Genomic DNA, 17,515 nt, shown 5'->3' on the forward strand with positions numbered 1-17,515 from the left:
TGGAAAACTCTGTGCGGCTGCTGCAGCAGAGCAGGTGGCAGCATGGGCACCAGCTCTCTGAGAGGCTGCAGCTGGTCCGGGCACACTACAAGCAGCTTCCACAGCTGGCACCGGGAACACGGTGGCACCCGGAAGCTTGAAGATCCCAGGAACTGCAGGGTCCCAAGGAGGGAGCCACAGTCCTGGTTCTAGGAGCTTCCAGGTCTGAGCTCCCCCAAAGCACCACAGCTCTTCTCTCCTTCTCTTTGCCTGCAACATGGTGAGCAAGGAGCATGTCTCAGTCCTGTTTGTGTTATAGCTCTTTTAGCTTCCCTATTCATTGGATCCTGAGTTCTTGTCCTGCAACCAGGAAGAATAAGGTACACAGACAAGTGGAGGGTGAACAAGATGAAGAGGGGCTTATTGAGCAATAGAACAGCTCAGAGGGGACTGGCAGAGGGCAGCTCTTTCCACAGCCAGAGTATCCTAATGAGTGTTCAGCTCTTAACAGAGAGTAGCTCCTCTCTGCTAGGCAGGTGGTACCAACAAGTGTTCAGTTCTCAGCAGAGAGGGTAGCTCCTCTCTGCTATTGGTCATCCCATGGTCTGCAGCTCTCTGCAGAGAGAAGGCCCTGGAGTGGATGTCTTCCCTCTGCAGGCAGGTTGTCCCATCATGTCTGCAGCTCTCAGCAGAGAGGAAGCCCTAGAGTTGGTGGCTCCTCTCTGTAGGCAGGTCCTCCCCTTGTCTCTGCAGCTCTCAGCAGAGAAGGTAGCCTCTCTCTGCAGCTGGTCCTCCCATCTTCTCTTCATCCTCTGTTCTGCTTTGGCTGAGCCTGGGGCTTTTATGGGCCTTAGAGGGGGAGGAAATACACACTGATTGGTCCATGGGCAGGCCCAGAAAAGGCACCACAAGTCCCCACTCCGGTCCATAGGACTGGCAGCCCAGCTGCCAGCCTTCAGGCCCTCTCTGGATTGAAGGTAGGGCCTCACCTGTCCCCCTCTGCCCAGGAGACCTTCTGCCTCCTGCCGCCATCCATGACACACAGGCTGCTTGCAGTAAGGGGCACCTGCAGGCCAGTGCCCAGCCACCCTCAACCCTCCACCTTCAGCTTCAGCCGTAACTTGTGTTTGTTAGTGCCCAAAGTCTGGAGGGGGCTAAGGCAGCAAAGGGCTGGTGTGTCCATGCTGCCCCATGCATGCAGTGTGCACATACCTGGCGGGGCTGTGACAGCACCTAGGCTTGGTCCCAACCCTGCTCTGAGATTGGAGCAGGTGCCAGGAGTGGAGAGAGGCCAGGCAGCAGGAGCAGGCACCCTCAAGCCTGCAAGGGCAAGGCGGAGGTCTTCCTGAGCTAAGAGTGCAGAGAGACCTGGGTCCACAGCCCCAACTTGGGGGCTGCAGCCATGCTCAGGAGGGCAGGGCTGCTGCCTGCTCCTGGCCTCTGTCAGCTCCATGGAGCATGCAGCCCCAGCTGCGCCCCCTCACAGCCTGGGGTGGGGGTTCCAGGTTCTCACTGGGCCCAGGCTGGCAACCAGGGCAGGAGAGATGTCTCCGCAAGCTCCCCCTGTGGCCCTGGCTCTCAGGGGTGGCCCGGAGCTCCTCCTCACCCATGTGGCAGCTTTTCTTGATTAAAGTGGCAGTTGGGGGTGCCTAGGGCACCTCTCGGAGTGTGCCTGGCCATTGGGAATGTCAGGCCTGGCGGTCACCCAAATGTGGGGCAGACAGACCCTGGGGACATGGCCCCAGGCAGCCCTTGGCAGAGCATCCTCCCAAGGTGCAGGAACCCAGTGTCCTCAGCAGGACGGCTGTGTTGCTGGCCAGGTCCTCGAATTGGGCACCGCTGGCCCCCAAAGCATGGCCTCAGCTCCTGCACCCTCCTTCCCTGCAGTAGCAGTGGGCAAGAGCAGCGACATGGTGCCAGGTCCAGAGCCACAGAGGCTCTGGGCCTTGGGGCGGGTCTCAACCAGCCATAGGAGGGTGGAGGCAGCACAGCCGGCTGCCTTGGGGACACGGGACACAGGGGACCCACTACCGTTATTGCTGGTCCCGTAGCCACTTCTGCCACCACCACCCATGCCTCCCCCACTGTGGACAGCCCATTGCTGCCATCATTGGGTATCATATGTTAATGCCACTCCTTTGCTCAAAATTACTCAGCGGTTCTCAGTTGCTTACAAAATCAGTGTTATGTTTCTATGCTTAAGGTTCTAAAGTTCTATATGGTAGATCCACAGACTTTTCTAACTTTATCTTCTAGAATTCATTACTGTGCTTTTTCCATTGGTCTTCAAGTTTCCCGTATTCTTTTCTACCTGGGAAGCTTTGCACATTGTTTTTCTCTTCTATAAATGCCTTCTTTCTTCCTTTTCCCCCTCTCCAAACACTCCAAGGCTCTTCTAAAACAAGATTTCCACATCTTTTCCCTGACCATTCCAGTACCTAATGTTTCTCTCCTCATTTGAATTCTTTTAGTCCTGTCTTTGCACACCATTTATATTGATGTTGATTCATACACTGCTGATATTAATATTTAGTTGTTTCATGAATGTTATACTTATTTTTCCAATGAAATAAACTTCCAAAGGTCAGGAACTGTATATTTATCCAGACATGGTGGCTCACTCCTATAATCCCAGCACTGTAGGAGGCCAAGATGGGAGGATCATTTGAGCCCAGGAGTTCGAGACCAGCCTAGGCAACATGGTAAAACCCTGTCTCTACAAAAAAATACAAAAATTAGCCAGGCATGGTGGCACATGCTTCTGGTCCTAGCCTCTTGGGAGGCTGAGGTGGGACATTGCTTGTGCCCGAGTGAAGTCAAGGGTTCCGTGAGCTGTGATTGCGCCACTGCACTCCAGTGTGGGTGACAGAGTAAGACCCTGTCTCAAAAAAAATAGAAATTACATTTAAAACTTCTACATCTTTCCCAGCAGTTTTAACAATACCTATAGTAGTACTACATCAGAGAACATTTTAGCTGTTAATCTTTTGTAAGTAAGTCATTGTAGAGAAACAGAGGATCTAGCTGTCTGAAAAACATTTAGATGCTGATGTGCTCATTTTAACTGCTGTTTGATGGATTTTATAATAAATATACTAAGATGTTACCTAGCTTCAAAAGCAGAAGATATATGACATAACCTGACTTTTTACACTTAAACTTTAAGACAGCGCTTGACAGAAAAGACAGTAAAACATGATTATTTCACAGGGGATGGAGGGAAAACAGGAAGTTTAGGTAAGGACTCCTTTGTCTCCATCACTTTTGCTGTTGCCTTTGTTTGTCTTGATAGCCCCATTCCAAACATTATCTAGATTTTCTGCAAAAACGTATTATCATCTTATCCCAAATGTGTCCATGGGTCTAAAGAATTTAGAAGAGAGATTTTTCCAAAAGATATTTTTTATCAGTATGAGAAGACAATACCTGTAACACAATTTTCTTTGAAGCCTTCTCAATATTTTACTTTTAATAGAATTGACACATGCACCTTTAAAATTATATTTCTAATGTTATAAGAAAAGATAGAAATTTCTTTTTGTACATATGTGGTAAAACAACTTATAAAATCTCTGCATAACAGTATTTCATTTTCTGCATAGTATCTACAACCTTTGGATTGTACCTTATAGTTTTCAAAGCACTTTAATAAATCTTTATCTTTTGACTCATATCACTGCATGGAGAGTTAATTAGGTCCAGTTTACAAGTATTCTGAAAGCTTAAATGACTTGTAAAAAGTTACAGAGCTAATAAGTGATAGAATCAGGACTTAACTCCAGTGATTTCTGACTCTCCAGCTACTTTTTTTTTCTTTTTTTTTTTTTTGACATAGTCTTGCTCTGTCACCCAGGCTGGAGTACAGTGGCACAAGCTCGGCTCACCACGTCCTCTGTCTTCTAGGTTCAAGAGATTCTCCTGCCTTAGCCTCCCAAGTAGCTGGGATCACAGGTGCGCACCACCACACCCAGCTAATTTTTTGTATTTTTGGTGGAGACGGGGTTTTACCATGTTGGCCAGGCTGGTCTTGAACACCTGACCTCAAGTGATCTGACCGCCTCGGCCTCCCAAAGTGGTGGGATTACAGGCGTGAGCCACCATGCCCAGCCCTCGAGCTACTTCTAATTCATAAGTTAAATACCTGAGTTATGTTAGGCAGAAAGGCAATAGATAATATTACAAAATGCATAACCTTATTCTATAAGACTTCCTTCTACAATTATCTTAAAATAAAATAATTTCTATCCTCAAGTAAGCCTCTGATTCTGAAGTAAGTTTTCTTATTGATACCACAAAGGGATTAAAGCATCATTTAGGAACAATAAGTTATTTTCCTTGACTATGTAGAGTGTTTATAGTAGCTAAATTTATAACTTTGAAAAATCTAAAGTAATGTTTTATGATTTTTTTCTAACACCTAGCTATGGAAGTGAATTTTAGGGACCCTTCCTAGGAGAGAAACTGGTTAAGTGTTATCAAAACACAGATCAGTTATACATACTGTATCCAAGTAATAAGCTTTGCTGAGTAGTACGCCATAAGTGCCTCACCCCATCCCAATTTTTCTGCAGCCTGTTAAACTGAGATTTTATTCTCTTAGTTGCCTATTAAGTACCTGGAAGCCAAGTCCTGACCCTTTCTCTTCATAGCCATGTGATCCTTAGGACTCCCAACACTTCTCTAAAGTCCGTTGTAGTGTTAAATATGTGTAATTCAAAGAATTACAAATCAGATTGCTTTGATAATGTTGTACTGTTTCCGGGGAGCATAGAAAGCTGCTCTGCTTTACCCTGATCTAAAGCTGAAAGAGGTTTTGTCTGTAGGTTTCTGACCACTCACTATCTATGGCTCCGAGAAATAGTACTGATTTATTGTGAGAGAGCCTTTCATGTTAGGGCAAACCCCCCAAAAAGAGCAGGAGATTGAAACGTTTATTTTTATTTCATATAAATAGTTTACAGACTTCTTTTTTCCCCTATATAGGCTTATGCTTGATTGTGTTTTGGTAGTCCAGATTTATATTGTTTCACTAACAAACTGTGAGCTTGAGCAGATCACTTTTTATTTACTGTCCTGTAGTTTCCTCATCTGTAAAACAGAGATACTAATAGTACATAACTAATGGGTTGTTGTTATGGATTTCAATGAGTTAGTATTTATAAAACACTTAGAGCAGTACCTGATACATAGTAAGTATTCAGTTAATGTTAGCAGTAAGTATGAAAGACAATATTGTATGGTGGTGAAGTCCTCAAGTCAGGGGGCTTGGGTGCCATTCCTAGCTCTCATCTTTACTGATGAAACCATAGGAAAATTGTTAAAACCTGCTGAGCTTCAGTTTTTTATTTACAGAATGGGAAAAATAATAATAATAATAATAATAATAATAATAATATGTACCTTGTAGAGATTTATAAATAAATTAATTTAATAAAGTCTATAGAGAGATTGGGAATGGGAATTATAATAATGTGTACCTTATAGAGATTTATAAATAATTTAATAAAGTCTTTAGCAGCTAGCATATAACTGAGCATTCTATAAATGTTAGCTAGTAGGAGTAGTTTTTTATGTCATTACCAAAGTGGCTTTATGAGGTAATTAAAGAAGTTGAGCCACATGTCCTCCTCATACCAGTATGCTTATGCAGTTAAAAGACATTATCAGGAATTAAGAATAGTGCTTTTATTTATTTCATTTTTTTAAAATTATACTTTAAGTTCTGGGATACATGTGCCGAACATGCAGATTTGTTACATAGGTATACACGTGCCATGGTGGTTTGCTGTACCCATCAACCTGTCATCTACATTAGGTATTTCTCCTAATGCTATCCCTCCCCTAGTACCCACCCCCCGACAGGCCCCGGTGTGTCATGTTCCCCTCCCTGTGTCCATGAGTTCTCATTGTTCAACTCCCACTTATGAGTGAGAACATGCGGTGTTTGGTTTTCTGTTCCTGTGTTAGTTTGCTGAGAATGATGGTTTCCAGCTTCATCCATGTCCCTGCAAAGGACATGAACTCATCCTTTTTATGGCTACATAGTATTCCATGTTGTATATGTGCCACATTTTCTTTATCCAGTCTATCATTGATGGACATTTGGGTTGGTTCCAAGTTTTTGCTATTGTAAACAGTGCTGCAGTAAACATACATGTGCATGTGTCTTTATAGGAGAATGATTTTTAATCCTTTGTGTATATACCCAGTAATGGGATTGCTGGGTCAAATGGGATTTCTGGTTCTAGCTCCTTGAGGAATCACCACACTATCATCCACAATGGTTGGATTAATTTACACTCCCACCAACATTGTAAAAGCATTTCTATTTCTCCACATCCTCTCCAGCATCTGTAGTTTCCTTACTTTTTAATGATGGCCATTCTAACTGGCATGAGATGATATCTCATTGTGGTTTTGATTTGCATTTCTCTAATGACCATAGTGATGATGAGCTTTTTTTTGTATGTTTGTTGGCCACATAAATGTCTTCTTTTGAGAAGTGTCTGTTCATATCCTTTGCCTACTTTTTAATGGGGTTGTTTTTTTCTTGTAAATTTGTTTAAGTTCCTTATAGATTCTGGATATTAGCCCTTTGCCAGATGGGTAGATTGCAAAAATTTTCTCCCATTCTGTAGGTTGTCTGTTCACTCTGATGATAGTTTCTTTTGCTGTGCAGAAGCTCTTTAGTTTAATTAGATCTCATTTGTCTATTTTGGCCTTTGTTGCCATTGCTTTTGGTGTTTTAGTCATGAATTCTTTGCCCATGCCTATGTCCTGAATGGTATTGCCTAGGTTTTCTTCTAGGGTTTTTATGGTTGTAGGTCTTACGTTTAAGTCTTTAATCCATCTTGAGTTACTTTTTGCATAAGATGTAAGGAAGGGGTCCAGTTTCAGTTTTCTGCATATGGCTAGCCAGTTTTCCCAACACCATTTATTAAATAGGGAGTCCTTTCCCCATTTCTTGTTTTTGTCAGGTTTGTCAAATATCAGATGGTTGTAGATGTGTGGCATTATTTCTGAGGCCTCTGTTCTGTTCCATTGGTTTATATATCTGTTTTGGTACCAGTGCCATGCTGTTTTGGTTACCGTAGCCTTGTATTATAGTTTGAAGTCAGGTAGCATGATACCTCCAGCTTTGTTCTTTTTGCTTAGGATTGTCTTGGCTATATGGGCTCTTTTTTTTGTTTCCATATGAACTTTAAAGTAGTTTTTTCCAATTCTGTGAAGAAAGTCAATAGTAGCTTGATGGGGATAGCATTGAATCTATAAATTACTTTGGGCAGTATGGCCATGTTCATGATATTGATTCTTCCTATCCATGAGCATGGAATTTTTTTCCCATTGGTTTGTGTCCTCTCTTATTTCCTCGAGCAGTGGTTTGTAGTTCTTGAAGAGGTCCTTCATATCCCTTGTAAGTTGGATTCCTAGGTATTTTATTCTCTTTGTAGCATTTGTGAATGGGAGTTCACTCATGATTTGACTCTCTGTCTGTTACTCATGTATAGGAATGCTTGTTATTTTTGCATATTGATTTTATATCCTGAGACTTTGCTGAAGTTGTTTATCAGCTTAAGGAGATTTTGGGCTGAGATGATGGGGTTTTCTATATATACAATCATGTCATCTGCAAACAGCAACAATTTGACTTCCTCTCTTCCTATTTGAATACCCTTTCTTTCTTTCTCTTGCCCTGGCCAGACCTTCCAATACTTTGTTGAATAGGAGTGGTGAGAGAGGGCATCCTTGTCTCGTGCCGGTTTTCAAAGGGCATGCTTCCAGCTTTTGCCCATTCAGTATGATATTGGCTGTGGGTTTGTCATAAATAGCTCTTATTATTTTGAGATACATTCCATCAACACCTAGTTTATTGAGAGTTTTTTGCATGAAGGGGTGTTGAATTGTATCCAAGACCTTTTCTGCATCTATTCAAATAATCATGTGGTTTTTGTCGCTGGTTCTGTTTATGTGATGGATTACATTTATTGATTTGAGTATGTTGAACCAGCCTTGCATCCCAGGGATGAAGCTGACTTGATCATGGTGGATACGCTTTTTGATGTGTTGCTGGATTCAGTTTGCCAGTATTTTATTGAGGATTTTTGCATCAATGTTCATCAGGGAATATCCACTATGGCCTAAAATTTTCTTTTTTGTTGTGTCTCTGCCAGGTTTTGGTATCAGGATGATGCTGGCCTCATAAAATGAGTTGGGGAGGAGTCCCTCTTTTTCAAGAATAGTGCTTTTAAAACAAAACAAATGAATAAAGCCTTAAATAGTTTAGTTGACTTGGACATTAGTTAAAGCTTTTTTTTTCAATCAAGTATGGTTTATGGAAACTTAAAAATTTGATGTCAAATTGAATAGGTTTGATACAAATCAAATTCCTAATGTTAATTTAACTTCCAATTTCCAACAATGAATGTGGTTTTTAGCTTTTTGTTAATCCAAAAAGATAAAATTGGTGTGTCCTAAAGAGAATCTCTAAGTAAATTGCTTTACTTAAAAAGTGTAAGTTGTTTGTTTTAACATCAGTTACACGTTTATATTTGAGTGGCTATTATTTACCCTAATGACGTTTAGTAGGAAAAAAAAAGGTACCAGCTAGATTCTGACAATATCACAGCAACTTGCCTTGTTTGAGCAGATGTTAAGCAGACAGTAGTTGAATGTTAATTTTGAGAGGGTGATATGTTTAAGCCTAGCTGAAGTATGTTGCTTGTGGGCTTTCTAGACTCGAGTACAATGCTGGATCTCTGGGGAGAATTTTAAAGCTAAACCTCTTTCTTTTGGGTCCTCTATATGGACTCTCTCAAGTCAGTATAAAGCAGATCATCCCTAGGCTAAAGCCCTTCAGCTTTTGTTATTGGGCTCTGTAGACCTGTAATTAGGCCTCCTGGCAGGCCTTGCAGGCCAGTTAATGGTCATATGGAGTTTCTGTGAGGCAGACTGGCTTTGTATAAATCCTGGGTAGGAATACGTTTATGGGTCACTTCCTACCAGGACCATGCTTTGTCCTTATGCCCTGCGGGCTGACAGGGAGCAGGTTCCCTTGACCATGGACTGTTCAATGTGCAACTCAAAATCTACTCCACTAATCCCCAGTGTAAACAGAGGATTTAGAAGGGCTTCTGTCACTTACAGTTGCCAATTCACTTGGGTGTCTGTGAATTTGTTTTCCCTGACTTCATTATTGAAAGACTGACAAGTGTATAAGATTTGGATGCTTGCTTATATATTAGATATATGGGTCTTTTTCAGTGGTTTTAAAATCATTGTAACTTATCTATTGTAAAATTATGTAATGAGTTGTTTAGAATTAATTACCCTTTAATATCTTTAAATTTAAGCCATTAAAATATCTGTACTGATAGTCAACCTTTTCTTATAGGAGAAATTATAGGTCTGTTTTTTTGGATAAGAGTAAAATAACATTATGTAAATAAATTTACCGAAAAGTGATTAATTTGGATATCAGATAAGTGAAAGAAATAATTAATGTAATGAAATGAAAAATATAGCCTTTATGCATTTTATATTAAGTAAAAATTCTAGTTTAGTGTAACAGAGCTTTTGAAAGGAGTATCAGATCATTTTATAAAATGCTTAACAAAAATATGATTCATGAAGTATTTAAAATAATGAGTGCCATTTATTGAGCATCTACTATGTGGTAAGTAATTTATATACATTTTCACATATTTTAAATAATTGATCCATGTTTCCTAGCCAAGCAAAATATTTGGAGTTTAAGAAAATTATAATTGAGTTTTCATTTTCTCATTTTATTTAATCTTTTTTTATTATAATTTTCTCTTTGTTGCTAAGATTATATTAGGATTCAATTCTAAAATATGTGCACATTGCCAAGAAGGAACTGTCACCTGTCTTCCTATGAGCCATTTTTCCTTTTAGGGGAAAATGATGAATACTTTCCCAGGTCTGATCTAGTAAATCATTGCTCAGTATTTTGCATTTTGTGATGTAAAAATGGTTCATGACAGATGTGGCTGAAAAGACCACATACGTAGACTGTATGATTTTAGTCTGGTGGAACTAATAGGATCACTCATTACATTTTAGGCCCTGGGGTTTCTTTTTTCTTTCATAATAACATTTTTTTAAAAACTGTTTAAATAGACTGGACCTTCACATGTGTGAGTACAGCATCTTCTCCTAAATTTAGAAAGAGTGGATGGCAACAAATAATCTTTTCTCTTTCAGAAAATTTTTGTAATGTTTATTCAGTATTAACTGTTATTTTTAAATTGTCTTGTCATCCCAAAAAAGCCAAGACTTTGTTCTATATTTGTAAAGGATTTCTTTGAATTTTGTTTAGCAAAACTAGAATATATATTTTTAGAGATTCCAAGACCTGTGAATTCAATTGAGTTATACATTAATAAAAACAAGTTTTGCAAGTGTTCAAATAATTTCTGGCAACAAAAAGACATACAATAGAAAGTTCTGGTGTTCACTTACAACTAGGAGAATCATAGTGTAACTTGTCTTTTTTCCTTTTTTAAAATAATATACATGGTGAATTTGTTGAATGGAAGTAGTATTTGTGATATAATTTAGAATTTTTTAAAAGCTCCTGAATGGTGTGAAGACTTTTGTCCTATTTTGGTTTTACCAAAAGTTAATATTTATATTGAAAAATAACTAGATGATGTACATTATATCATTTGTATTGGTATTGTCTCTGGATAGTGGGATTTAGGGTTATGAAAAAATTGTTTTTGCTTATCTTTATTTTCTGATTTTTCTGTGGTTATGAAGAGAAACTGAAGAGGTCTAGCAAAGGTTTAATTTAAACATGATAAAATTCCCCAGTATTTAGTATAAAATTTAAAATTTTGACAAATGTATTCAGCTGTGTCACTTTGACCAAAGATTTTGGTAAAGAACCTTTACATTACTCCAGAAGGTTTCTTTGTTCTCATTTGAAGTCAATTCTCTCTCCCTATTCCTGGACCTTAGCAACCACTAATCTGCTTTATGTCACTAGAGTTTTGCTATTTTTAGAATGTGTTGTAAATGGAATCATATAGTATGTAGTGTTTTGTGTCTGTAGTCTTTCACTTGGTGTAATGCTTTTTGGATTTGTTCGTGTCGTTGTGAGCATTCATTTTTTTTTTACTGCTGAATAGTATTTCATTGTCTGGCTATACCAGTTTGTTTATTCATTCAGCAGTTGGTGGACACAAATAAATTGTTTCAGTTTATGGTTTTTATGAGTAAAGCTTATATGGATGTTTGTGTACAAGTCTGTTGGAATACATGTTTTCGTTTATTTTGAGTTATTGCTTAGGATTGGGATGCTAAGGAAGAAGAATGGAGTTGGAATTACTAAGGTTATATAGTAAGTGGAGCTATAACTTTATAAGTCACTGCCAAAATTTTTCCAAATTGGTTGTATCAGTTTGTATTTTCACAAGCATTGTATGAAAGTTTGCTTCATTTGTTCCATATCCTTGACATTACTTGGTGGTGTTGGCTTTTTTCTGTTTAATTTTTGCCATTTTATTGAGTGCGTTTTACTTCATTTAATTTAATGTGCCTTCCTGTGGTGACTAATGATGTTCAGCATCTTTTCATGCAGTCATTTACCATCTGTATACTTTCTGAAGTATCTGCTCATATCTTTTGCCTGTTTTTAAAAGAAATTATTTATATTGTTGAGTTATAGTTATTTATATATTCTAAATACAAATCAGTTATATACTTCATAAATATTTTCTCCCAGTCCTTGTCTTGCTTATTTTCTTAACAATGTTTTTTAAAAATTAATGATTTGTATACAGCAAAATGCACCTTTTTTAGTGACAGTTCTTTAATTTTCGACAAATGCAAATGGTTAAGTAACAGCTCTGAGAATCTAATTGTAGAATAATCCTATCATTCCCCCAAATTCCCCCATACCCCTTTTTTGTGAACCCACTACTCCTGACTCCTAGAAACCACTGATCTTTTTTTTTGTCCTTACACTTGAATTTTTCTGAAATGTCATATAAATGGACTCATAATATGTAGACTTTGAGTCTAGCGTTTTTGACTTAGCATCATGCATTTGAGATTTATCCACGTTGTTGCATGTATCAGTAGCTTATTTACTTTTTATTGCTGAGTAGTATTCCATTGTGTGAATTAGTTAATTGAAGGATGCTGTTGTTTCTAATTTGAGGCAATTATGAAATAAACCATTATAACTTTCTCAAGTTAGATATTGTGTGAACATGGGGTTTTGTTCTACTTGGGTAAATACCTAAGACTAGGATTGCTGGCATAATAACTTTGTTTAACATTATGAGAAACTGCAAACTGTTTTCCAAAGTGGCTGAACCATATTTTGCTCCCAACAGCAGTCTATAAGAAATCCAGTTGTTCCACATGCTTGACAATACTTTGTATGGTTAGTTTTAGTTTTCCTTTGGTCATTTCAGTGGGTGTGTAGATGTCTCTCATTGTGGTTTCAATCTGCATTTGCCTCATGGTGAATGATGTTAAGCACTCTTAATGTGATTATTTACCATAATAGGTCTTCTTTGCCCATTAAAAAAATTGTTCATTTTTCAGTTGCTGAGTTTTAAGAGTTTGTATATTCTGAGTAAAAGTTCATGATCAAATATGTTATTTGCAAGTATTTTTCACAGTTTGTGGCATGTTTTCATTCTCTTAATGGTGTCTTTTGAAGAGCAGCTCTTAATCATGATGAAGTCTAATTTCTCAGTTTTTCTTGTATGTATTGTGTTTTTAGTGACATATTTAAGAAATCTTTGCCCAACCAGAGAACTCAATGGCTTGCTTCTATGTTTTCTTCTAGAGTTTTTATAGTTTACTTTCTATGACCCATTTAAAATTAATGTTTATATATGATGAAGTATGGATTCTGGTTCTTTGCTTTGCACATGGATATCTTATTATTCCAGTGCCATTTGTTGAAAAGATGTTTTTCATCCACCAAATTGCCTTTGTACCTTTGCAAAGTATCAGTTCACTACATATAAGTAGCTCTATTCTGAATTCTCTATTCTGTTCCATTGATCTATCTGTCTATCCTTTTACTCAATACCAGCCTTGATCACTGTAGTGCTGTATGGAGTCTGGAAATTAGTTAGTGATTTCTCTAACTTTGTTTTTCTTTTTCAGAATGCTTTAGCTCTTCTAATTCTTTTCCATTTCGATATACATTTCAGAACCAGCTTATTGATTACTATTTTTAAAAATCCAGCAAATTAAATGAAAACTGACTCAGATTAAAATTTTTTTAATTTTAAATTCAACTGGAATTTTGATTAGAGTTGTATCAACTTCGTAGATCAATCTGGGGAGAATTGGCATCTTAACATATTAAGTCTTTGAATCCACGGACATGGTATAGCTTTCCATTTATTCTGTTTTTTTATTTCTTTTATCAGAGATTTGTCGTTTCCAGCACATACATCTTGCATGTATTTGTTAAATTTATTCCTAAATATTTCATGTTCTGGGCATCATTGTAAATAGTAAGTTTTTGTTTAAGTTTTTATTTCCAATTCATTGTTGGTATATAGAAATACAGTCCTATTTTGAATAATTTACTTGTATTCTGCAATTTTGTCAAACTCACTTAGAGATTACTAGTTTTTAAAAGATTCATTAGGATTTTTCTTTTTTGGCTTTTTAAAAATTTTACTTTAAGTTCTGGGATGGAGTTTTTCTACATAAACAATGATGTCATATGCAAATAGAGAAAATTTTATTTTCAAAACTGGATACCTTTCATTTCTTATTTTTACCTTATTACTGTAGCTAGAATCTCCAGCTTTTGAGTAAAAGTGTAAGAGTGGATATCCTTCATTTATTTCTGATCCTAATGAGAAAACATTCAGTCTTTCACCATTAAGCAAGATGTAAACTGTAGGTTTTTCATAGATGACTTTTTTTACGTTGAGGACGTTTTCTTCTATTCTTATTTTGCTTCAAATTCTTGTAAAGAATGAATGTTTTATTTTGTCAAATGCCTTTTCAGTATCTATATAGATGATTATATGTATTTTCTTCTTTATACTATTGATACGTTGCATTTCATTGGTTGATACTCAAATGTTAAAACAATCTTACATTCCTGGGAGAAACATCACTTGGGCATGATATACTTTTTTTTGTATATTTTTGGATTCAATTTTCTAAAACTTTTGTTTTGTATATATTATAGCTTATATTCATAGCAATTATAAATACTTCATTAGAACCATTTCTATACATAATTCCTTACAGGTAAGGTCTGTCTGTCAACCTTGTATTCCCCTGTAACTAACATGGTACCCTGGTATTAGAAGCTTTTGGTTTTTTGTCATTGGTTGAATAAATGAATGAATATCACCAGTAGACTATGTAAATGTGTATTTAAACACCACTGGAGTTAACATTCTAAAGTAGGAGTTAAAAGTAAGTGTGGCTTTTGCTCACAGAAAATGGAGAATGTGTTGTTCCATAATAATTTCTCTAGTTTTTCAATAAGCAGCACTTTGCTTTATTGTTGGTAATTGTTCTGAGAGTAATAATGGGCGATATGTCCCTAATACTTTATGTTTACCATTTTCATGTTCCTATAATTGAAAACACTGAACCAACTTTATTATATGCACATAGATAATTACTGTTTTATGTTTTTTGAATACAAGGGGGAAAGCTGATTATTACAATACTCTAACGGATTGGATATTTTTTTCTTTGGTTCCAAATGAGTGGGGACTTTATTGCCTGTACCCACAATTGCAGCTCATTTCATTTGCTCCTATTTATATGTAATGCAATTCACAAAGTATTCTAAGCCAGTGAAGTTGACTTTTCATATAGGACTATGACATAATTTAGAATTTGAGCTAGATAAATTAATACAGGAACAGAGGTATAGAGTGAGACAAAAAGAAGATGAGAGGACGGGAGAGGAAGTCTAGGTTGCTCTTTTGTATGGTTCTTTCTCACCTCCCATTCATAAATTGGAAAGGAAAATTCATCCCCAGGCATTTAGATCTGTAATTTTAACCAAGTAAAATACGCTTATTTTTCCTTTAGAGCAAACCCTGAGATAGAAAAGATTTATCAGACTGTGTGATGGGAAATTTATACATACAAAAACTTCCAGAATAGCTTTCCAATATCTGTACAGTACATTTAATATATTCAATTCATCTAAATGACCTGTCATCAAATGCTATCTGATTTAAGAACCTTATACATGTCTAATGTTTTCAGAAAGTTTTTAAAATAAGTATGCCAATGATGTATTATATATGCTCATAAAAGGTCATTTTGAATTTTGAATTAAAATAAGGAATTTTGAATTTAATACTTTTTAATTTTTTTAAATACTTTGTATGTAGTCATTCCTATGGTCTTCCTCCTGGAAGGAATATGTTAAAACCTATAAATTCCTTACAGTTCTTCATGTGACAGTAGTAGATTCCATTTAAGTGTACTTTTTATTGGCTCTAAGTTATTTGATATGAGTTAATTAATTCCTTCTGTTTTAACTCTCTTAAGCAATACTTGAAATGGTCGTTATTTCGCAGTTTTGCATAGTAATTTGGAAAGGTTACTAAGGCCTTGGAATTTTAAAAATTGTTTTAAAAAGAGGACTTTTAAATTATTGTCATTCTAACGACATTATGAAACTGTTAATCAAAGACCTTGAAAAGTAAATTGGACTTAGCAAGTTATTATTATTATTATTATTATTATTATTATTATTATTATTAACTTATTTTTTTGAGACAGGGTCTCACTCTATTGTCTAGGCTGGAGTGCAGGTGGCATGATCATAGCTCACTGCAGCCTCGACCTCCTGGACTCAGGTGAGCCTCCCACCTCAACCCTCCTGGGTAGCTGGGACCACAGGCACACCCTGTTAACATTTCATATCCTTTTTTTTTTTTTCTTAATGAGATATGGTTTTGCCATGTTCCCCAGGCTGGTCTCAAACTCCTGGACTCCAGTAATCCACTCACTTCAGCCTCCCAAATTACAGGCTCAAATTATTATTAATTAGATGAAAGAATTTTTGTATATCTGGATACAGTTGATTATTTCTGCTTTTAAAATTCAGGAAATTCAATTGGATAATATTCATTTAGTGAGGCAAACACATTTATATTCAAACCTTATAGTAAATAATTATAAATAAATTGTATGTAATATGAATTAGAACCATTTATTAGGAAGATATCTAGAAACATAGTGATGTAAATTTTTTTATAATGTGGATTTGAACATTGCATATTTTGCCTAAGCCTGTGTTCATTCTTTTAAATTTTACTTCCTATCACCTCTTCACTTTGGAAAATAATTTTATGGCATTTAAATTTACTGTGTAATTTATTTAAAAAACAATTAGAATGTTTAGTTCATTCAACATTCAACAATTTTTAATGAGCGTCTTTCATATGCCAGGTATTCTTTTAGGCACCAGGGACCAGGTGGTTCTTTCTTTAGCCATGGATGGTTTCTCAATTGCGTTTGCCAATCAATATTTTAAGGGTGACTCTCCACTGATTTCTGAATTCTCTTTTTAAGGGTGAGTCTCCACTGATTTCTGAACTCTCTTTCTGTACAGTTCCCTCCCTCCCTCCCTCTCGACCCCCCTTCCTTCCTTCCTTTGTAGTCGTTCCTATGGTCTACCTCCTGGAAAGAATATATCCCTCCCTCCCTCCCTCCCTCCCTCCCTCCCTTCCTTCTTCCCTTCCTTTCGTTTTTTTTTTTTTTTTTTAAAGACAGAGTCTCACTCTGTCACCCAGGCTGGAGTGCAGTGGTGCAATATTGGCTCACTGCAGCCTCTGCCTCCTGAGTAGCTGGGATTATAGACATGTGCCACCACTCCTGGCTAATTTTTGTAAATTTTTTGTAGAGACGGGGTTTCACCATGTTGGTCAGGCTGGTCTTGAACTCCAGACCTCAGGTTATCTGCCTGCCTCGGCCTCCCAAAGTGCTGGGATTACAGGTGTGAGCTACCATGCCCAGCCCCTGTGTAGTTCTTTCTCTTGTATATTGTTCTGCAAACTGTGGGCATCTTGGTCTCCTAGGTGCCTGTAGCTCCATCTCCTCAACTAACTTGGTCCACTAAGCTCTTCTTGGGTTCCCTTTCCCAGCATTATGGCTGGAAACTCAAAGCAGTAACTACAGTAGTCATAGGGCTCATCTCCGTTGTCTCCTGACCTTGAAAATCAATGTTCTACTTTGTGTGGTGTCAAGTGTTTTGAAAGTTATTTCTTCCATTTATTTTTTCCTGTTTTTCTTTTTCTTTCTTTTTTCCCCTTGGTTGTTTCAGACAGGAGTTTAAATACAATCAGCACCTATTATTCCATATTGGTTGGACGGGGAAGTTGGCATAGTCACTCTATATGATTTCAATTCTTTTACATTTTTTTAGACTTATTTTTGGCCTCAGATACAGTGTTTGTTGGCAAATGTACCAAGTGCATTTGAAGGGAATGTATATTCTACAGTTGGGGGTGTTGTGTTATATAAAATATCAGTTAGGTCAAAGTTGGTA

General features: G+C 37.3%; 1 protein-coding gene across 5 annotated transcripts in view, besides 1 other annotated feature; it reads left to right on the forward strand.

Moving 5' to 3' along the window:
- RSRC1 (arginine and serine rich coiled-coil 1) overlaps positions 1 to 17,515 on the forward strand; it is a 435,642-nt gene that overhangs the window by 249,388 nt on the left and 168,739 nt on the right. The gene's annotated exons all lie outside the window — the stretch shown is intronic.
- Positions 8,385 to 9,567: an enhancer, noted in NCBI's record as "VISTA enhancer hs1413". NCBI's record gives its function as "enhancer in: forebrain[3/5] | limb[3/5]" and the evidence as "EXISTENCE:transgenic organism evidence [ECO:0001131][PMID:17130149]".

Source organism: Homo sapiens, chromosome 3 (assembly GCF_000001405.40).
Source record: "Homo sapiens chromosome 3, GRCh38.p14 Primary Assembly".
Lineage (NCBI taxonomy): Eukaryota > Metazoa > Chordata > Mammalia > Primates > Hominidae > Homo > Homo sapiens.